Genomic DNA, 15311 nt, shown 5'->3' with positions numbered 1-15311 from the left:
AACCCGCCTCTTCTGCAGCTAGGACAGCGTCAAGAGTGGAGGGGACTGGGGCCCTGCTGCACCTGCTCGTCCTTCCTCTAGGCTGGGGTTTGTCAGCACGGAGAGAAAACCGAGAAGCAGGGTCAGCGCAAGCCTGGTTGGGACCTCCACACTCCCCAGGCATTTGGGGCCTCTGGGGCTGTGGCTTCCTCACCTGGGGAGGCAGCCACGTTTTCCGGGACTCCTTTCTTCCCTCTCGACTCTCACCCCTGCCCACCTTCCCCTCCCCCATCCCTCCACCCGCAAACTTCAAGCACTTTCTGGAAGGGGCTAAGGTGGGTGATGCTGAGTCACATTTATTACCAGACTTTCCTGGCCCCATGCTCACAGGCACTGGTCACTGAGTCAGGCATTTGCCAGGGCTGTCTGCTTGGGCGACTGCTGCAGGAAAGCAGGCTGAGGCCCCAGTGCCCAGTCTGAGCCTTAGAACCGGCCCTCAGGAGGGCTCAGCCCCATACCACTAGGGGGGCTCCTGCAAACCTGGTCCCTTGGCCTGAGGCAGGGATTTCACCTCCTTTTGCAGGAGCCGCTGCAAGGCTGTGGATGAAGCTTTCTGGTCACAAAGCCCCTTCTCCTGGGGCTGCTGTGGGAGTAGCTCTTGGCACACACTTCCACCCAGAGACTTCACATCCCAGCTGACGAGGGCACGGTCCTGAGAGCTGGCAGCAAAGATGGGGTGGGGTGGATGCTGCTCAGTCATTGGAGCAGACGGAGTGTCCCAGGAGTGGGCGGAAAATGTCTCTTTAGGAGCCTGAGGTTGGCCCCTGGTGCCCGGAGCCTGAGGCCCCACAACCTCCCCATGTCCTCCTCCGTTCCCCACGACTGCTGGTGAGAAGTCCTGCCTGGAGTTTTGCAGGGACCCCTCCCTGGACCCAGAAGGGTCCGCGCTTCAACACTTTCAGAGATCATTTAGTCCATCCTCTTTGACAAACGGGGACCAGGGAGGTAAGGAACTGCCCAGGGTCACACAGGAACCAGACCACACAATATCACCACCTCCCTCTGCCCAGCACACTTAAAGCCGCGTGCACCGCGCTCACCAGGAGCATGTCAGCACCTCCTTGAGCGTCCTGCGGAGCTCCTGGCTGTGGAAGGCGTAGATGAGGGGGTCGATGATGGCATTGCAGATGATGAGGGCGAGAAAGAGGTTGAAGTTCTTGAAGATGCAGCCGCACGTGGGGTGCTCGGGGCAGAGGACGATGAGTGTGAGATGCAGGAAGAAGGGGCCCCAGCAGAGGAAGAAAATGCCCAGCAGGATGGTGAGGGTGACAGCGCCTTTAAGGCCAAAGCCCTGGTGGACCGGGCGCTGCCTCTTGTGGAGCCGGGCGATGCCCTGGGCGTGCTGGCAGGCCCGGGCCAGCATGTGGACGTACAGCACGGCCATGAGCACCAGCATAGCCAGGAAGAAGACCACGAGGCACAGCAGGACGGCCACGTGGTCGTAGTAGGCGATGAAGAGCGTGCTGAAGACGACACTGGCCACCCAGATGGCCGCAACGGCTCGCCGCGCCCGCGGCAGGGTCACGATGCTGTGGTAGCGCAGTGCGTAGAAGATGGAGATGTAGCGGTCCACGGCGATGGCGCCCAGGAAGCAGAGGCTGGACAGCATGGAGCTGCAGGTGATCACGTCAATGACATTGTCCAGCTGCTGCAGCACCGCAGCCCGGGCCACCAGTGCACCGGCCTCCAGCAGGAGGATGACGGCCGTCTCCAGCACGTTGCTCCCGCTCACCAGCAGGTCCGACAAGGCCAGGCAGCAGATGAAGCAGTACATGGGTGAGTGCAGGTTCCGGTTCTTGGCGATGGTGGCCACCACCAGCGCGTTCTCCACCAAGCTCACCAGCCCCAGGCTGAGGAAGAGCCCGTCAGAGATGGACACCTCCAGGCACCGGGCTCCTGTCTGGTTGGCAGCCAGCCCCAGCTGGGGGATGGCTGTGGGGGTGGAGTTGAGGGAGCCCAGAAGTCTTCTCTGGGATCCCTGCACAGCCATAGTCCTGTCCAGGAAGCAGGAAGGAGTCGTTGGAGGCCTCCAGGTCCCCACAGTTCTTCCCCTCCAGGTGTCCTGCTTAGTTCATGGTGCTGCCAGGGGGCCTTGGGTGTCCCCCATGCCTGCCTCCTTCCATCTGGGCACCCCCAGATCTGCCCTCACACCCTCTCCCTGGCTGGACAGGTCAGCCCAGGCATGGCCCAGCCAGTCCAGACACCTCCTGGCATCTACCGCCTGGGCTCAGGGATTCTCACAACCAAGCCTGGTCCTCAGCTCCCTCCCTGCCTCTTCCCTGGTGGCTGCTGCTCAGGTCCCCAGGACATTTCGACACCTCTGGACCGTCCTGGCCTCTGTCTCCTGCCTTCCTGGGCCAGGGCTGCGCTGAGGTCCTGGGAAGAATGGAGCTTTTCTCTGCGTTTTAAAAAGTCGTTCTCAGAGCCCCTCCCACTGAGGGCGGCCACATGCCGGGGGCGTGAGCACCCACCATGGCCCGGCCTGCCACCAGGCGGCGTGCAGGACCCAGGGGGTCCCTCACACCGCGGATCTCCTTTACGTTAAAAAACACCACAGTCTGTCCTGGTCACCAGGGCCCCCACCTGGCCGCCCCTCTAGGAGTCCGGAGCTTCCCCGGGACCTGCCCTCTCCAGAGGCCCCACCCTTCACCCCTCCCCTCGTCAGCAGCTCAGGGAGGACAGGGGTCCCCTCTGCTCTCAGCCAAAGCACGCATGGAGCAGCAACTCAGCTGTCAACGTTCACGGCAGATTTGGGGGCTGGACCAGGGAGAACTTTCCAATAATTAAAGTTCTGGAAACTGAGTGAGCCCTGCAGGAGTTTGCACATCGCGCGGGGTGAGGGGGCTTCCGGCCAGGGCAGAGCGTGAAAGCGTCCAATGCTAGTGAGCCCTGGAGAGGTTGGTGTTTTCAGGCATCTTGTAGAGCCTGAGGCCACTCTGGCGCCTGCCCCCAAGGGCCCAGCCTCGCCCAGCCAGAGTGGCGACCCCCTCAGCTGCAGCCCTGGGGCTGTGGGGGTGTCGCTTCCTGGGAGCGGACCGGCTGGGGGCACCCTAGTGAGGTCTTCAGGGACCCTCCAGTCATCTCGTCGCTCATCCTCACAGGGGCACCCGGGACGCTGCTCCCGCCCTCCCCGGGCGGCGCGCCATTTCCGCTGCGGAAGGCACCACAGGCCCTGCACCAACAGCCACATCAAAGGCAGACCTCTCGCCTCCAGCCGTCGCACGTGGTGCTCCGCAGGCCGTTCACAGCAGTCGGGCGTGGCCCCGAAGCCCAGCAGGGACGGTGGAGAGGGGCCCTGGCACCCACTGCAGGCATCTTCCTGGGTTCACTCCAGGGCGTTCCCAGCACTTCCTTGCTGAAGACTGCGTCTGTGCTGAAGGGTGGAAGCGGGAGGGGGATGGAATTACTCGTCCCATTTACAGCTGCAGGAAAGGAGGCAACGGTGCAGGCACCGCATCAGGGTTTTCAGTTTTGTGTCTGCGATGTTCGAGTTAAAATCCATCCTGTCTCTCGCCCAACTGCCAAACTCTGACCATGAAATGCTCACACCACTCACAAGCCACCTCCATGTGTGTGAGGACATTAATATTTTTCATATTTACTGGTACAGTAAATACTTGTTACAACCGCATTTTACAATTTATAAATCTTTAGTTTTGCTTTAAAATTTTTTATTATTGTCAGCCATGGTGGCTCAGGGCTGTAATCCCAGCACTTTGGGAGCCCAAGGCGGGTGGATCACCTGAGGTCAGGAGTTCGAGACCAGCCTGGCCGACATGGAGAAACCCCGTCTCTACTAAAAATACCAAAATCAGCCAGGTGTGGTGGTGGGTGCCTGTAATCCCAGCTGAGTCAGGATAATAGCTTGAACATGAGAGGCGGAGGTTGCCGTGAGCCGAGATTGCACCATTGCACTCCAGCCTGGGCAACAAGAGCAAAACTCTGTCTCAAAAAAAAAAAAAATTATTATTGCCGGGCACAGTGGCTCACCCCTATAATCTCAGCACTTTGGGAGGCTGAGGCAGGCGGATCATGAGGTCAGGAGTTCAAGACCAGCTTGGGTAATATGGTGAAACTCCATCTCTACTAAAAATACAAAAATCAGCCAGGCGTGGTGGCGCACGCCTATAATCCCAGCTACTTGGGAGGCTGAGGCAGAATTGCTTGAACCCAGGAGGCGGAGGTTGCAGTGAGCCGAGATCACACCACTGCACTCCAGCCTGGGAAACAGAGATACAGTCTCAAAAAAAAAAAAATATATATATATATATATATACATATAATTTTTATGTATTTATTTATTTTGAGACAGTTTCACTCTGTCGCGCAGGCTGGAGTGTAGTGGTGCATTCTTGGCTCACTGCAACCTCCACCTTCTGGATTCAAGCAATACTTATGCCTCAGCCTCCCAACTAGCTGGGACTACGGCACCCACTACCACACCTGGCTATTTTTTGTATTTTTTGTAGAGATGAGGTTTCACCATGTTGACCAGGCTGGTCTTGAACTCCTGACCTCAGGTGATCGGTCCGCCTCAGCCTCCCAAAATGCTGAGATTACAGGGATGAGCCCCCACACCCCATCTGCTTTAATTTTTTTTTTTTTTTTTTTGAGACGAAGTCTCACTGTCACCCAGGCTGGAGTGCAGTGGCATGATCTTGGCTCACGGTAGCCTCTGCCTACTGGGTTCAAGTAATTCTCATACCTCAGCCTCCTGAGTAGCTGGAACTACAGGCGCGTGCCGCCACACCCGGCAAATTTTTGTATTTTTTTTAGTAGAGATGGGGTTTCACCATGTTGGCCAGGACGGTCTTGATCTCCTGACCTCATGATCCTCCCGCCTCCGCCTCCCACAGTGCTGGGATTACAGGCGTGAGCCACCGCGCCCGGCCCTAAAATGTTTTAATTGAGGTACAACATACATGAAAATGCACCAGTGATAAATATGCAGGTTGACGGATGACAGACCTGAACCAGCCACATAAGCAGCACCAGACCAACAGACACAGCGTTCCCACCCGGACGGCTCCAGCGAGCCGCTGCCAGCCCATCTGGCCCATCACGTGAATGGTGTCCCAGTTCACTCTCTCTGGCTGAGATTCGCCTATGCCGGTGGCTGTAACCGTCTGCCTCAGACCGTGGTGTCCACGGCGTGAACAGACCACGTCTGGGTGGCTTCAGACTCCCTATCAACGATACCGTCTGATGGACACAGGTGCGTCTGTGGATTGCCACCCGGGGGACATGGGCAGGGACCTCTCTTCAGCTTTGGGAGACTTGGTCAAACCATCTTCAAATCGGCAGGCCTGTTTCTGTTCACACACGCAGCCCCAGGCTGCTCAGAGGAGAGAGCGCGCCCTGCCCACACCACCACAGGACCTGGTATCCGGCCACAGCCACAGAGCCTCGGCCTCAGCCCAGCCTTTTGCCTCCCATGACCTTTGCCCCCTCACGCTGTGCTTCCAGCATGAGCACAGGGGAGAGAAGGGTCCCAAGGTGTGAGAAGGCCAAGCCTCTGCCTCGGGAAGGAAGACGGCTCCACTGGTGTGAGGGCCGTGGCTGTGTCCCTGCCCCAGGAGCACCCCCGACGTCCACAGCACCTCACAGACCCAGACCCAGAGCCCGCTCACCTCTGGCCATGAACCAGTGAGCAGCCCCTGCCCCAGAGCACTGTCCCCTCACATTTCAAGGACGTTCGTGTTTGCAGCTCCACAATGAGGCCTTTGAGACGGACGGCGGTTAACCCCAGCCTCCACTGCTACCCCCCAGCCCGGGACTTGAAAGGGCATGAGAACTGGGCAGCCTTTTTCGTGCCAAGATGCAGCTGGAGGGCATCGGAAGTGGGGTGACCCTGCCACAGGACTCCCACTGTGGTTCCTCACTGGATGTGCCTGTCGGGGCTTCGTGGGAAGATGAGGCACAGCCGAGCTGCAAAAAGTCAACTTTTTGATGTGTTATGGTCATGGGGGAGATAAATTAGCCTCGGGATGATCTGTGATTAGATGACATCCTACAGCTAATCATATCTCGATTTTGGTCTCTTAGTGCCCCTGGAAACACTGCATGCTGAGTGGCCGGAAGACACGTGGGGCTGGCCCATCCGCTCACCAGGGTCCCCGCCACAGGCAGAGGCACCGTTCCTGCAGAGCACTTTCCATCCAGGTGTTTCTGGACCAGCGACCCACGAGGAGAATGAAGACAGACGTCTTCCTGCGTTTATTCAGTGTCTGGCATCCAGGGCCTGCAACACACACACAGGCACACACACACACACAAATGTGCACCCACACACACAGGCACACACACACACAAATGTGCACCCACACACACAGGCACACACACACAGGCACACACACACAAATGTGCACCCACACACAGGCACACACACAAATGTGCACCCACACACACAGGCACACACACACACAAATGTGCACCCACACACACAGGCACACACACACAAATGTGCACCCACACACACAGGCACACACACACACAAATGTGCACCCACACACACAGGCACACACACACACAAATGTGCACCCCCACACACAGGCACACACACACACAAATGTGCACCCCCACACACAGGCACACACACACAGGCACACACACAAATGTGCACCCACACACAGGCACACACACACACACAAATGTGCCCCACACACACACAGGCACCCACACACACAGGCGCACACACACACAAATGTGCACCCACACACACAGGCGCACACACAAATGTGCACCCCCACACACAGGCGCACACACAAATGTGCACCCCCACACACAGGCACACACACAGAGGCACACACACAAATGTGCACCCACACACAGGCACACACACACACAAATGTGCCCCACACACACAGGCACCCACACACACAGGCACACACACAGGCACACACACACACAAATGTGCACCCACACAGGCGCACACACACACAAATGTGCACCCACACACACAAATGTGCACCCACACACACAGGCACACACACACAAATGTGCACCCACACACACAGGCACACATGCATACAAGTGTGCACACATACATACGTGCACACACACACACAGGCACACACACACACACAAATGTGCACCCACACACACAGGCACACACACACAGGCACACATGCATACAAATGTACACACATACAAATGTACACACATACATACGTGCGCACACACGTTTACCCACACACGCGTGCACATACAAATGTTTACCCACACACGTATGCGCACACACAATGTTTACCCACACACGTGCACACACGTGCACCCACACCACATGCGCACACACACAGGCACACACAAATGCGCACCCACCCACACACGCACACACACACACATCTGCTCAATGTGTGCCCGAGGGCTGCGAGAGGTAAAACATCTCTGTGGCCCAGGGAGTGGCCTGTCCAGCTGCGGCCACAGACATGGAGGTGGGGGTCACCGCCGGACCAACAGTCCCACCGTGGTGGGCTCCAGTACAGCTCCCCAGGACAGCTGGACCCACAGCTGATCTCAGCCCTTGGTTCAGGGACCATTTCCTTTGAACTTGGGGGTGGGGGTGTGGGAGGTGGCAAGCAGGGTTTCTCGTGGGCTCACCGTGGTGCCTGCATTGAAGGCTTTGGGGGGTTCTGGCTCAGTGGAAAAGGGCCCGGCTGGTGAGCCACGCTGCCTGTGGGCACCCGGGGAGCCACGTGCGCCTCAGCCTCTCGCTGGGCTGAGCAGGGCCAAGGGAGGAAACAGGACAGCATTCCCCACAATCATGGCAGAGGCTACGCCCTCAAAACAGTCTTTCAGATCTCACGGTCATTGGAAGTAGGCTCAGCTGCAGGTCATGACATAAACCCCAGCACCACTGCCAAAGTGTCAGTGATCCAGCCACCTCTCAGGACAGCAGGCCTGGGCTCAGCCTCTGCTGCATTGTCCCTGGAACACCGGCTCTTCTCTGACTCCCAACCGTAGGGCGGCTGCTGCAGCTCCAAACATCACATCCCCTATTTGGGTGGACTCAAGGCATCTGGAATGGAAGAGGCAGGGGACCCAGGTCTCCTTGCTAGCCTGTCATTTTCAGAGAAAAGACCCTGAAGACTCTAGCAGACTCCCGCATCTCGATGGCTGAAGCTCACCACGGACCACCCTGGCTGTGGAGGGTGGGGACCTAGAGCAGACTGGGGTTATCTCCCAACCATCTTCCCTGGAGATGAGTGCAGATCCCCCATGGAAAAAGGGGTGGGTGGGACACCAGGAGGACCAGCCTGTGCTCCCCACAGGCTCCTGCTGACCACAAACATCGTTCACTCACTGCAGAGAGGAACGAGGCCGCAGCACCAACTCCCCGCCCCCATGATCTCTTCCTGCAGAGCGTGGGGCTATCACAGCTGGGACCTCAGGGCACCGCTCCTAGAAATGGCCAGCACAGGGCCAGGGCTGCACCCTCAGGCCCACGTCTGAGATGGGCACACGTGGCTCAGCCCTCGGGCCAACTCTTGTCATGGACACTGGGCCCTCGTCGTCCTGGGGAGGGTCCTGCACCCTAAGCTCCCGCCCAGGAAATGCTGAGCAGAGTAAGGAGACACCAGGAACTGCCAAAAGGATGAACTCACAGGCCTCGGCGAGCCCCAGGTTAGACGATTACACAGTGATGGGCTTTCTGGGAGGTGGGTCCACGGACCAGTACCTAGCTGGGGCTGGAACATGTTTCCTGCCTCACTGGCCGCCCTAGAGCCTCGGGCAGCCCCTCGTGTCTGCTGCCTCCTAAGGGTAAAAGATTAGGGCGGTGAGGGGTGCCAGGGGACAGGACCCCTGCTGCAGCCCTAACACCTTGGTGTTCTCGATCCTTCCAGAACCACGCTGGCTTCTGATGCTGTCTGGCTGCAGCCTCCGCCCCTCCTGCAGCTGCAGCACCGTGGGGCCGTGGGATGCACGGGTTCTGTGCACCATCAGTCAACTGTGCCAGGACCTGCTCCAGCTAAGCCCTCCCCCAAGACTGGGGTCTTGGTCCGAGTGGCCCATTCACCCTCAGACCGACTATCCCCTGATCTTTGCTACATGGGCCCTCAGAGCTTCCCTGGGCACTTCTCTGCAAAACATGCTTCTGGGGCTTCGCCTTCAATTCTGGGCACTGCCCTCAAGTTCTCTAATAAAATTATTTTGGCAGAGCCAGGCGCGGTGGCTCACAGCTGTAACCCCAGCACTGTGGGGGGCCAAGGCGGGCGGATCATGAGGTCAAGAGATTGAGAGCATCCTGGCCAACATGGTGGAACCCCGTCTCTACTAAAAATACAAACATTAGCCAGGCGTGGTGGCGGGTGCCTGTAGCCCCAGCTACTCGGGAGGCTGAGGCAGGAGAATGGCGTGAACCCGGGAGGCGGAGCTTGCAGTGAGCCGAGACTGCGCCACTGCACTCCAGCCTGCGCGACACAGTGAGACTCTTGTCTCAAAAAAAAAAAAGAAAATTATTTTGTCAGATTCAACAGATAGTGGCATCCAGCCAAAGGACCCCAACATCTCCACCCCACTTGCTTGGAGGAACAAGACTGAAGGCCGGCTGCCACATAGGGGCCTCTCTGCTCCAGCCCTGCCCTGAGACCCTCTACCAACAAGGCACGCAGCTCTGTTGACGAACTCCACAGCAAGTTCAAGGAGGACGTGCACCCAGGGCCTTGGCATTCAGCAGGGACCTGCACTGAAGACCCCGTGGGGCCCCTTCTCCACCCGTGCCCAGATCCTGGGAGCACAGGAAGCATGGGGTCTGGGCCCCACCTCACCCACAAGCCACTGGGAGGAGAATGGACTGAGTGTGATTCGAATCCGAGGGCATGGGACGGCGCTCAGTGCCTGCGAAAGGAGAAGGTGCGGACGGCAGAGCGTGACCCATTTACATTTATAGGAGAAACAGTGGACCAGGGAGCGACACACTCAGCTTCCCTACTTCAGGCAACTGGCCGACTCCGACCAACAGAGAAATCGGGAACATCATCATACGGCTTTTCGGTCACCTCTGCGGACGCTCAGTCCCACTCCCCCTCCCCCTCAGCGTCGTCCTCGTGCGGCGCCTCCAGGTCGTTGAGGTGGAAGTTGGCCATCATGTCGCGCACAGCCAGCATCAGCCTGTTCAGGCCCTGGTTGCGGTTCAGACCCCCAGCCACTCCTTCCTCGGGCCTCTCCCCCTGCAGCAAGGGGACATGTCTGAGAAGGGGGCTGTCTGTGCTGGGACTAGGGGCCCGGGGCCCAAGCAGGAGGCACTGTGGAGCCCGAGGTGGCCCTTGCCCCAGCACCGGACCCTGAACCCTCCCCAGGTCCCTGTGAGGAGGAAGCTCTCAAAACCAAATGCCGTGTCTAGACCAAGCCAGGCACAGAGTGGGATCAAGCCGGCTGACTCACGGCCCTGCATCTGCTACCATCTGGGCAGGCCCCAGTTTCCCCGGCAGAATGGGCACCCCACTGGCACAATGCAGCCTTGGTCCTTCCCTGCTCCCTGTGCCGGCTGGCACAGTCCTGGTTCAAGGAGGCTCCAGGCATTCGCACTGGAATGGATATGCCCGCACCCACTGGGGAGGCAGGGGCTGGGACGAGCTCAACCTACCTCCATGGTATAGTTTGGCAACAGTGACCGGAAGAAGAGAGCAATGGTGTTTCCATGGCTGATAGGACTTAGCCTGAAAGAAAGTCAAGAAAAGTCAGAAACGACACTGAACTGAGACTCGTGGGACCCAACCCGGCTCACGGGGCTGCCTGCCAGCTGCCTCCCTCGCAGGGACACGGAGGGGCCGCCAGGGGGCAGAGCAGCAGCAGCTGAGCACAGGCCCTGGATTCCCCGGGTGGCCCGTGAGGCTTCCTCATCAGCTTAGGGTGGGGCTGTGGACAGCGGGAACAGGATGAGGGAGACCAACTCAGCTGAGGCAGGCGTGGCGTCCGGAGCGAGGCTCCCACAGCCATCCTCGGCCACTGCACAGGTGCCTTGCTTTTCAGAAAAGCTGCAGTTTCAACGTCTCCTTCAGCACCCACTCCTTACGCAAAGGCAGAAGCTTCCAGGGCCTGCGTTAAGCGGAGACCCTCACGGTGCGAAGGGCTACCGGCCCGGCTCTACAGGACGCTGAGCGGCCAGGCCTCAGGAGCTCTAGGGAGGGCGAAAGCCTGGGCTCCACAGCGGAGGGAGGCAGCAAAGAACCGCGATTCCTCAATGCTGCAACACCCTGCCGGCAGGGATAATCACGACGACCGCTGTGCGGGTGACGGGGCCTGGGTAAGGCAAGTACTTTCCAGCCCAGAAGGAAAAGGTAAAAAGCCTTTCAATGACCCGGATTCTGAAAGCCAGACACACCGGCCGCCTGGCAGTTGGCCCTCTTGCGCCGCAGCCCTGCTCTCCCGGTCTGGCCATGGGGCTTTTGTTCTCTCAATGTGCCGTGTGCTCTGCTCCTGGCACAGGGCCTCGGCACATCGTGACTCTGCTGGGGAACACAAGGACCCTCTCCCCTGAGCCTGGTGAGGGCACATTCATCCTCTCCGTCTCAGCACAGCCACCATCCTTCCTCCAAACACCTTACTGGAGGATTTTTTTTTTTTTTTTTTTTGAGATGGAGTCACTCTGTCACCCAGGCTGGAGTGCAGTGGCGTGATCTCAGCTCACGGCAACCCCCTCCTTCCGGGTTCAAGGGATTCTCCTGCCTCAGCCTCCTGAGTAGCTGGGACTACAGGCACAACCCACCACGCCCAATTTTTTTTTTTTTTTTTTTTTTTGAGACGGAGTCTTCCTCTGTCGCCAGGATGGAGTGCAGTGGCACGATCTCCACTCACTGCAACCTGTGCCTCCCGGGTTCAAACAATTTTCCTGCCTCAGCCTCCCAAGTAGCTGGGACTACAGGTGTGCGGCACCACGCCCAGCTAATTTTTTTGTATTTTAGTAGAGACGGGTTTTCAGCACGTTGGCCAGGCTGGTCTCAATCTCTTGACCTTGTGATTTGCCCACCTTGGCCTCTCAAACTGCTGGAATTACAGGCGTGAGTCACTGCACCCAGCTGGCTAAGTTTTGTATTTTTAGTTGAGACGGGGTTTGCCATGTTGGCCAGGCTGGTGCAGTTTTGATTTTATGTTTATTTCTACATTCTAAAATTAATATGTTTTCCCCACTTCACTGCACACCTGCTTCCACTGTGTCACTCGCACCTGCCACAGAGGCCGACACGCAAGCGCTTGTACATTCGGTGGAGATGGGAAAGAACGTGGCCTGCAAACGCAGAGCTGTGACCCCCAAATAACACTGTTCCTCTCCTCCTCTCCCTTCCTGTGAGGGGAAAGACCCACTTAGCCCTGAGCCCCATCTCTCAGCATCTGGGTCTGAAAGAGGCAGCCAGTCCCTGTGAGCCCCAAAGCCCTGACCTCAGAGCTGCAGGAGAGAGCTGGGAGCTGCGAGGTGGGAGCTGGGAGCTGGGAGCTGCGAGGTGGGAGCTGGGAGGTGGAAACTGGGAGGAGGGAGGCGGGAGCTGGGAGCTGGCAGGTGGGAGGCAGGAGCTGGGAGCTGGGAGGCGGGAGCCGGGAGGTGGGAGCTGGGAGGCGGGAGGTGGGAGCTGGGAGGAGGGAGGTGGGAGCTGGGAGGTGGGAGCTGGGAGGTGGGAGGTGGGAGCTGGGAGGTGGGAGCTGGGAGGAGGGAGGCGGGAGCTGGGAGGTGGGAACTGCGAGGAAAGAGGTGGGAACTGGAAGGTGGGAGGAGGGAGCTGGGAGGTGGGAGCTGGAAGGTGGGAGGTGGGAACTGCGAGGAAAGAGGTGGGAGCTGGCAGGTGGGAACTGGGAGGTGGGAACTGCGAGGAAGGAGGTGGGAACTGGAAGGTGGGAGGTGGGAGCTGGGAGGTGGAAACTGGAAGGAGGGAGGTGGGAGCTGGGAGCTGGAAGATGGGAGCTGGGAGGTGGGAACTGTGAGGAAAGAAGTGGGAACTAGAAGGTGGGAGGAGGAAGCTGGGAGGTGGGAACTGGGAGGAGGGAAGAGGGAGCTGGGAGGTGGGAGCTGGGAGGTGGGAACTGAGAGGAGGGAGGCGGGGTTGGAAGGTGGGAACTTGGAGGAGGGAGGCGGGAGCTGGAAGGTGGGAGCTGGGAGGAGGGAGGCAGGAGGTGGCAGGGGAGGTGAGAGGAGGGAGGCGGGAGCTGGGAGCTGGGAACTGGGAGGAGGGAGGAGACAGGGGCTGTAAGGTGGGAGGCGGGAGCTGGGAGGTAGGAGGTGGGAGCTGGGAACTGGGAGGAGGGAGGCGGTAGCTGGGAGGTGGGAGGCGGGAGCTGGGAGGTGGGAGCTAGGCGGCGGGAGGAGGGAGGTGGGAGCTGGGAACTGGGAGGAGGGAGGCAGGAGCTGGGAGGTGGGAGGCGGGAGCTGGGAGGTGGGAACTGGGAGCTGGGAGGTGGGAATTGGAAGGAGGGAGGAGGGAGGTGAGGTGGGAGGTGGGAGGAGGGAGTTGGGAGGTGGGAGCTGGGAGGTGGGAGGTGGGAACTGGGAGGAGGGAGGCGGGAGCTGGAAGGTGGGAGGCGGGAGCTGGAAGGTGGGAGGCGGGAGGTGGCAGGTGGGAGGTGAAAGGAGGGAGGTGGGAGGTGGGAGGAGGGAGCTGGGAGCTGGGAGGTGGGAACTAGGATGAGGGAGGCGGGAGCTGGGAGGTGGGAGCTGGGAGGTGGGAACTGGGAGGAGGGAGGCAGAAGCTGGGAGGTGGCAGCTGGGAGCTGGGAGATGGGAGGTAGGAACTGGGAGGAGGGAGGTGGGAGGTGGGAGGAGGGAGGTGGGAGCTGGGAGGTGGGAGGTGGGAGGAGGGAGGTGGGAGCCAGGAGCCGGGAGCTGCTAGGTGGGAGCTGGGAGCTGGAAGGTTGGAGCTGGGAGGTGGGAGCTGGGAGCTGGGAACTGGGAGGAGGGAGGTGGGAGCTGGGAGGTGGGAACTGGAAGGAGGGAGGTACCTCTCTGGCCTGACGTAGGAGTAGATTGTGTCCGAAGGAGGCAGAGGATCAAACCCCATCACAGACTGCGTGGTCACGTCCTTCAGAAAGGGACATAAAACGAAGATGCTACAGATGCTGCCAGGGGGCCTCTACCTCTCCCAGCAGAGTCCTTCTGTCGACTCCAGCATGGACTGGATGCATCTGCTGAGAGATAGCCACAGAGTCTGACAGAAACGGCTGTGCTTTTTGTACCAACGAGCTTTGGGTGAGGGTGGGACAGTCCTTCTGCCACCAGGACACTCACGGGAGTCGAGATGAACCTGCACGGCGTCTGCCCTGCACACCAGAGTGTGTGGTGGGGAAGGAAGGGGGTCACGTGCCGCTCAAGCCTGCCAACATCTTCACCACGTGTCAGAAGCTCCCACTTCAGCAAATGCAGGCTACAGGGACCCTGAGCTGCCCTCGGGTTGCACAGTGCCACGTGCTGCCACTCTACTGAGGAGAGTCAGAAGCTCACAGCCCCAGACAAAGCCAGCCATGCCGGTCATAAGGGCCCGCAGAGCAGCTGAAGTTAAACCAGGAGGCACTAAGCTGTCCCCAGTGGACGGTCCACGGTCCTGCGACCCTCTGACTTGCTGGTTTTCTCACTCGTTCTATCTTATCCCTTAACAACAGTACAAACTCCTTAGGTTTTGAGACAGAAACGGCACCTCCAGCACAGGAGGCGTCAGAGCAGGACTACACCCCACGACTACAGAGAATCCCCCAGCAGCCGCACCACGCGCTCACAAGACCACGGATGGAGCAGCTCACCACGGTGACGACTCAGCTTGTGCTCTGAGCCCCAAAGGATTTCTCTCTCAAAACAACAAGCATCCGAACCCGGGCTGCCAGGAAAGGAGGAGCCCTCTGCACTAGACCCTGCCCCTGCCGTGGCGGGGCTGGGCTGCTGAGGGAGCCCGCACCACGCACGCCTGCATGTGGACCGCCCGGAGCAGAAGGGACGTGCATGTGACCGGCTTACACAGAGCTCCCATTTCAGCCTTTCTCCCTTACCGGGGGCAGGGCAGCGACGGCTTCCTTGATCTCAGAGAGGATCACATGGCGGTGGATATTCCTGGGTGCACGCTGGTAGAGCACCTTCCGCCTAGGGCCGGGGAGAAACAAGGCACAGCAGATAAAGCACAGCAAATGAAATGGTAACCGCCATGGAGCCTCGGCCCCCACCCCCACCCAGCACGAGGCATCTCGCTGCATCTCTGGTGGCTGCAAAAACTGTACACTTTACTCTCGAGCAGAGGCACCATGGCTGGTCCCTGGCCTGCGGCTGGGGAGCCTCTGGGGACCAATCCCAGCCACATGGC

At 59.3% G+C, this 15311-nt stretch overlaps 3 protein-coding genes across 4 annotated transcripts in view, besides 10 other annotated features; all 3 read right to left on the bottom strand.

Moving 5' to 3' along the window:
- Positions 120–1003: an enhancer, noted in NCBI's record as "H3K4me1 hESC enhancer chr16:89986693-89987576 (GRCh37/hg19 assembly coordinates)". NCBI's record gives its function as "activates a minimal SCP1, AML or CMV promoter by ChIP-STARR-seq in primed H9 embryonic stem cells {active_cell/tissue: H9 hESC(primed)}" and the evidence as "EXISTENCE:reporter gene assay evidence [ECO:0000049][PMID:30033119]".
- Positions 316–2426, bottom strand: MC1R (melanocortin 1 receptor). The gene has a single exon (NM_002386.4). It carries the CDS (start codon positions 2027–2029, stop codon positions 1076–1078), a length of 954 nt encoding a protein of 317 aa, NP_002377.4. The 5' UTR covers positions 2030–2426; the 3' UTR covers positions 316–1075.
- Positions 1004–1887: an enhancer, noted in NCBI's record as "H3K27ac-H3K4me1 hESC enhancer chr16:89985809-89986692 (GRCh37/hg19 assembly coordinates)". NCBI's record gives its function as "activates a minimal SCP1, AML or CMV promoter by ChIP-STARR-seq in primed H9 embryonic stem cells {active_cell/tissue: H9 hESC(primed)}" and the evidence as "EXISTENCE:reporter gene assay evidence [ECO:0000049][PMID:30033119]".
- Positions 1004–2771: a biological region, named in NCBI's record as "H3K27ac-H3K4me1 hESC enhancers GRCh37_chr16:89984925-89985808 and GRCh37_chr16:89985809-89986692".
- Positions 1705–1986: a silencer, noted in NCBI's record as "fragment chr16:89985710-89985991 (GRCh37/hg19 assembly coordinates)". NCBI's record gives its function as "represses an EF-1alpha promoter that drives an FKBP-Casp9 reporter gene in an ReSE screen in HepG2 liver carcinoma cells {active_cell/tissue: HepG2}" and the evidence as "EXISTENCE:reporter gene assay evidence [ECO:0000049][PMID:32094911]".
- Positions 1888–2771: an enhancer, noted in NCBI's record as "H3K27ac-H3K4me1 hESC enhancer chr16:89984925-89985808 (GRCh37/hg19 assembly coordinates)". NCBI's record gives its function as "activates a minimal SCP1, AML or CMV promoter by ChIP-STARR-seq in naive H9 embryonic stem cells {active_cell/tissue: H9 hESC(naive)}" and the evidence as "EXISTENCE:reporter gene assay evidence [ECO:0000049][PMID:30033119]".
- Positions 2318–9629, bottom strand: LOC124903759 (keratin-associated protein 5-1-like). Of its 2 annotated transcripts, XM_047435031.1 has the most exons (4): positions 8643–9629; positions 6148–8056; positions 3241–3412; positions 2318–2437 (listed from the first exon to the last, which is right to left on the bottom strand). In XM_047435031.1, exons 2-4 carry the CDS (start codon positions 7185–7187, stop codon positions 2333–2335), a joined length of 1317 nt encoding a protein of 438 aa, XP_047290987.1. In that variant the 5' UTR covers positions 7188–8056; positions 8643–9629; the 3' UTR covers positions 2318–2332. The 2 variants fall into 2 exon arrangements, with proteins under 2 accessions (XP_047290987.1, XP_047290988.1); XM_047435032.1 differs by lacking the exon at positions 2318–2437 and having other exon boundaries at positions 3241–3461.
- Positions 2486–2535: an enhancer, noted in NCBI's record as "active region_11427". NCBI's record gives its function as "activates an Ori minimal core promoter by ATAC-STARR-seq in GM12878 lymphoblastoid cells {active_cell/tissue: GM12878}" and the evidence as "EXISTENCE:reporter gene assay evidence [ECO:0000049][PMID:35858748]".
- Positions 2772–3657: an enhancer, noted in NCBI's record as "H3K27ac-H3K4me1 hESC enhancer chr16:89984039-89984924 (GRCh37/hg19 assembly coordinates)". NCBI's record gives its function as "activates a minimal SCP1, AML or CMV promoter by ChIP-STARR-seq in naive H9 embryonic stem cells {active_cell/tissue: H9 hESC(naive)}" and the evidence as "EXISTENCE:reporter gene assay evidence [ECO:0000049][PMID:30033119]".
- Positions 8228–8727: an enhancer, noted in NCBI's record as "H3K4me1 hESC enhancer chr16:89978969-89979468 (GRCh37/hg19 assembly coordinates)". NCBI's record gives its function as "activates a minimal SCP1, AML or CMV promoter by ChIP-STARR-seq in naive H9 embryonic stem cells {active_cell/tissue: H9 hESC(naive)}" and the evidence as "EXISTENCE:reporter gene assay evidence [ECO:0000049][PMID:30033119]".
- Positions 8728–9229: an enhancer, noted in NCBI's record as "H3K4me1 hESC enhancer chr16:89978467-89978968 (GRCh37/hg19 assembly coordinates)". NCBI's record gives its function as "activates a minimal SCP1, AML or CMV promoter by ChIP-STARR-seq in primed H9 embryonic stem cells {active_cell/tissue: H9 hESC(primed)}" and the evidence as "EXISTENCE:reporter gene assay evidence [ECO:0000049][PMID:30033119]".
- A 279-nt stretch (positions 9630–9908) lies between the features above and the next one.
- The window catches only part of TCF25 (TCF25 ribosome quality control complex subunit), a 37788-nt gene continuing 32385 nt past the window's right edge, over positions 9909–15311 (bottom strand). Inside the window, exons 15-18 of the mRNA NM_014972.3 lie at positions 15004–15094; positions 13966–14045; positions 10625–10697; positions 9909–10208 (exon numbers count right to left, since the gene is read on the bottom strand). Coding sequence (NP_055787.1) covers positions 10050–10208; positions 10625–10697; positions 13966–14045; positions 15004–15094 — 403 coding nt within the window. The 3' untranslated portion in view covers positions 9909–10049. The remainder of the gene's footprint in view (positions 10209–10624; positions 10698–13965; positions 14046–15003; positions 15095–15311) is intronic.
- Positions 10773–11067: a silencer, noted in NCBI's record as "tiled region #15702; HepG2 Repressive DNase unmatched - State 25:Art". NCBI's record gives its function as "represses a minimal TATA promoter and a strong SV40 promoter by Sharpr-MPRA in HepG2 cells {active_cell/tissue: HepG2}" and the evidence as "EXISTENCE:reporter gene assay evidence [ECO:0000049][PMID:27701403]".

Source organism: Homo sapiens, chromosome 16 (assembly GCF_000001405.40).
Source record: "Homo sapiens chromosome 16, GRCh38.p14 Primary Assembly".
NCBI classification, from domain to species: domain Eukaryota; kingdom Metazoa; phylum Chordata; class Mammalia; order Primates; family Hominidae; genus Homo; species Homo sapiens.
Note: the sequence above shows the minus strand (reverse complement) of the source record. Positions and strands in the feature narration are given on the sequence as shown.

What these genes read in the sequence shown, in the direction of transcription:
- MC1R (NM_002386.4), bottom strand. Translation starts at nt 2,029, where the DNA reads ATGGCTGTGCAGGGATCCCAGAGAAGACTTCTGGGCTCCCTCAACTCC.
- LOC124903759 (XM_047435031.1), bottom strand. Translation starts at nt 7,187, where the DNA reads ATGTGTGTACATTTGTATGCATGTGTGCCTGTGTGTGTGTGCCTGTGT. An exon ending in TGCCTGTGGCGGGGACCCTG is followed by an intron (nt 3,413 to 6,147) that starts GTGAGCGGATGG and finishes TCCACCCTTCAG; the next exon opens with CACAGACGCAGTCTTCAGCA. An exon ending in GCGACGGCTGGAGGCGAGAG is followed by an intron (nt 2,438 to 3,240) that starts GTCTGCCTTTGA and finishes TTTAAAACGCAG; the next exon opens with AGAAAAGCTCCATTCTTCCC.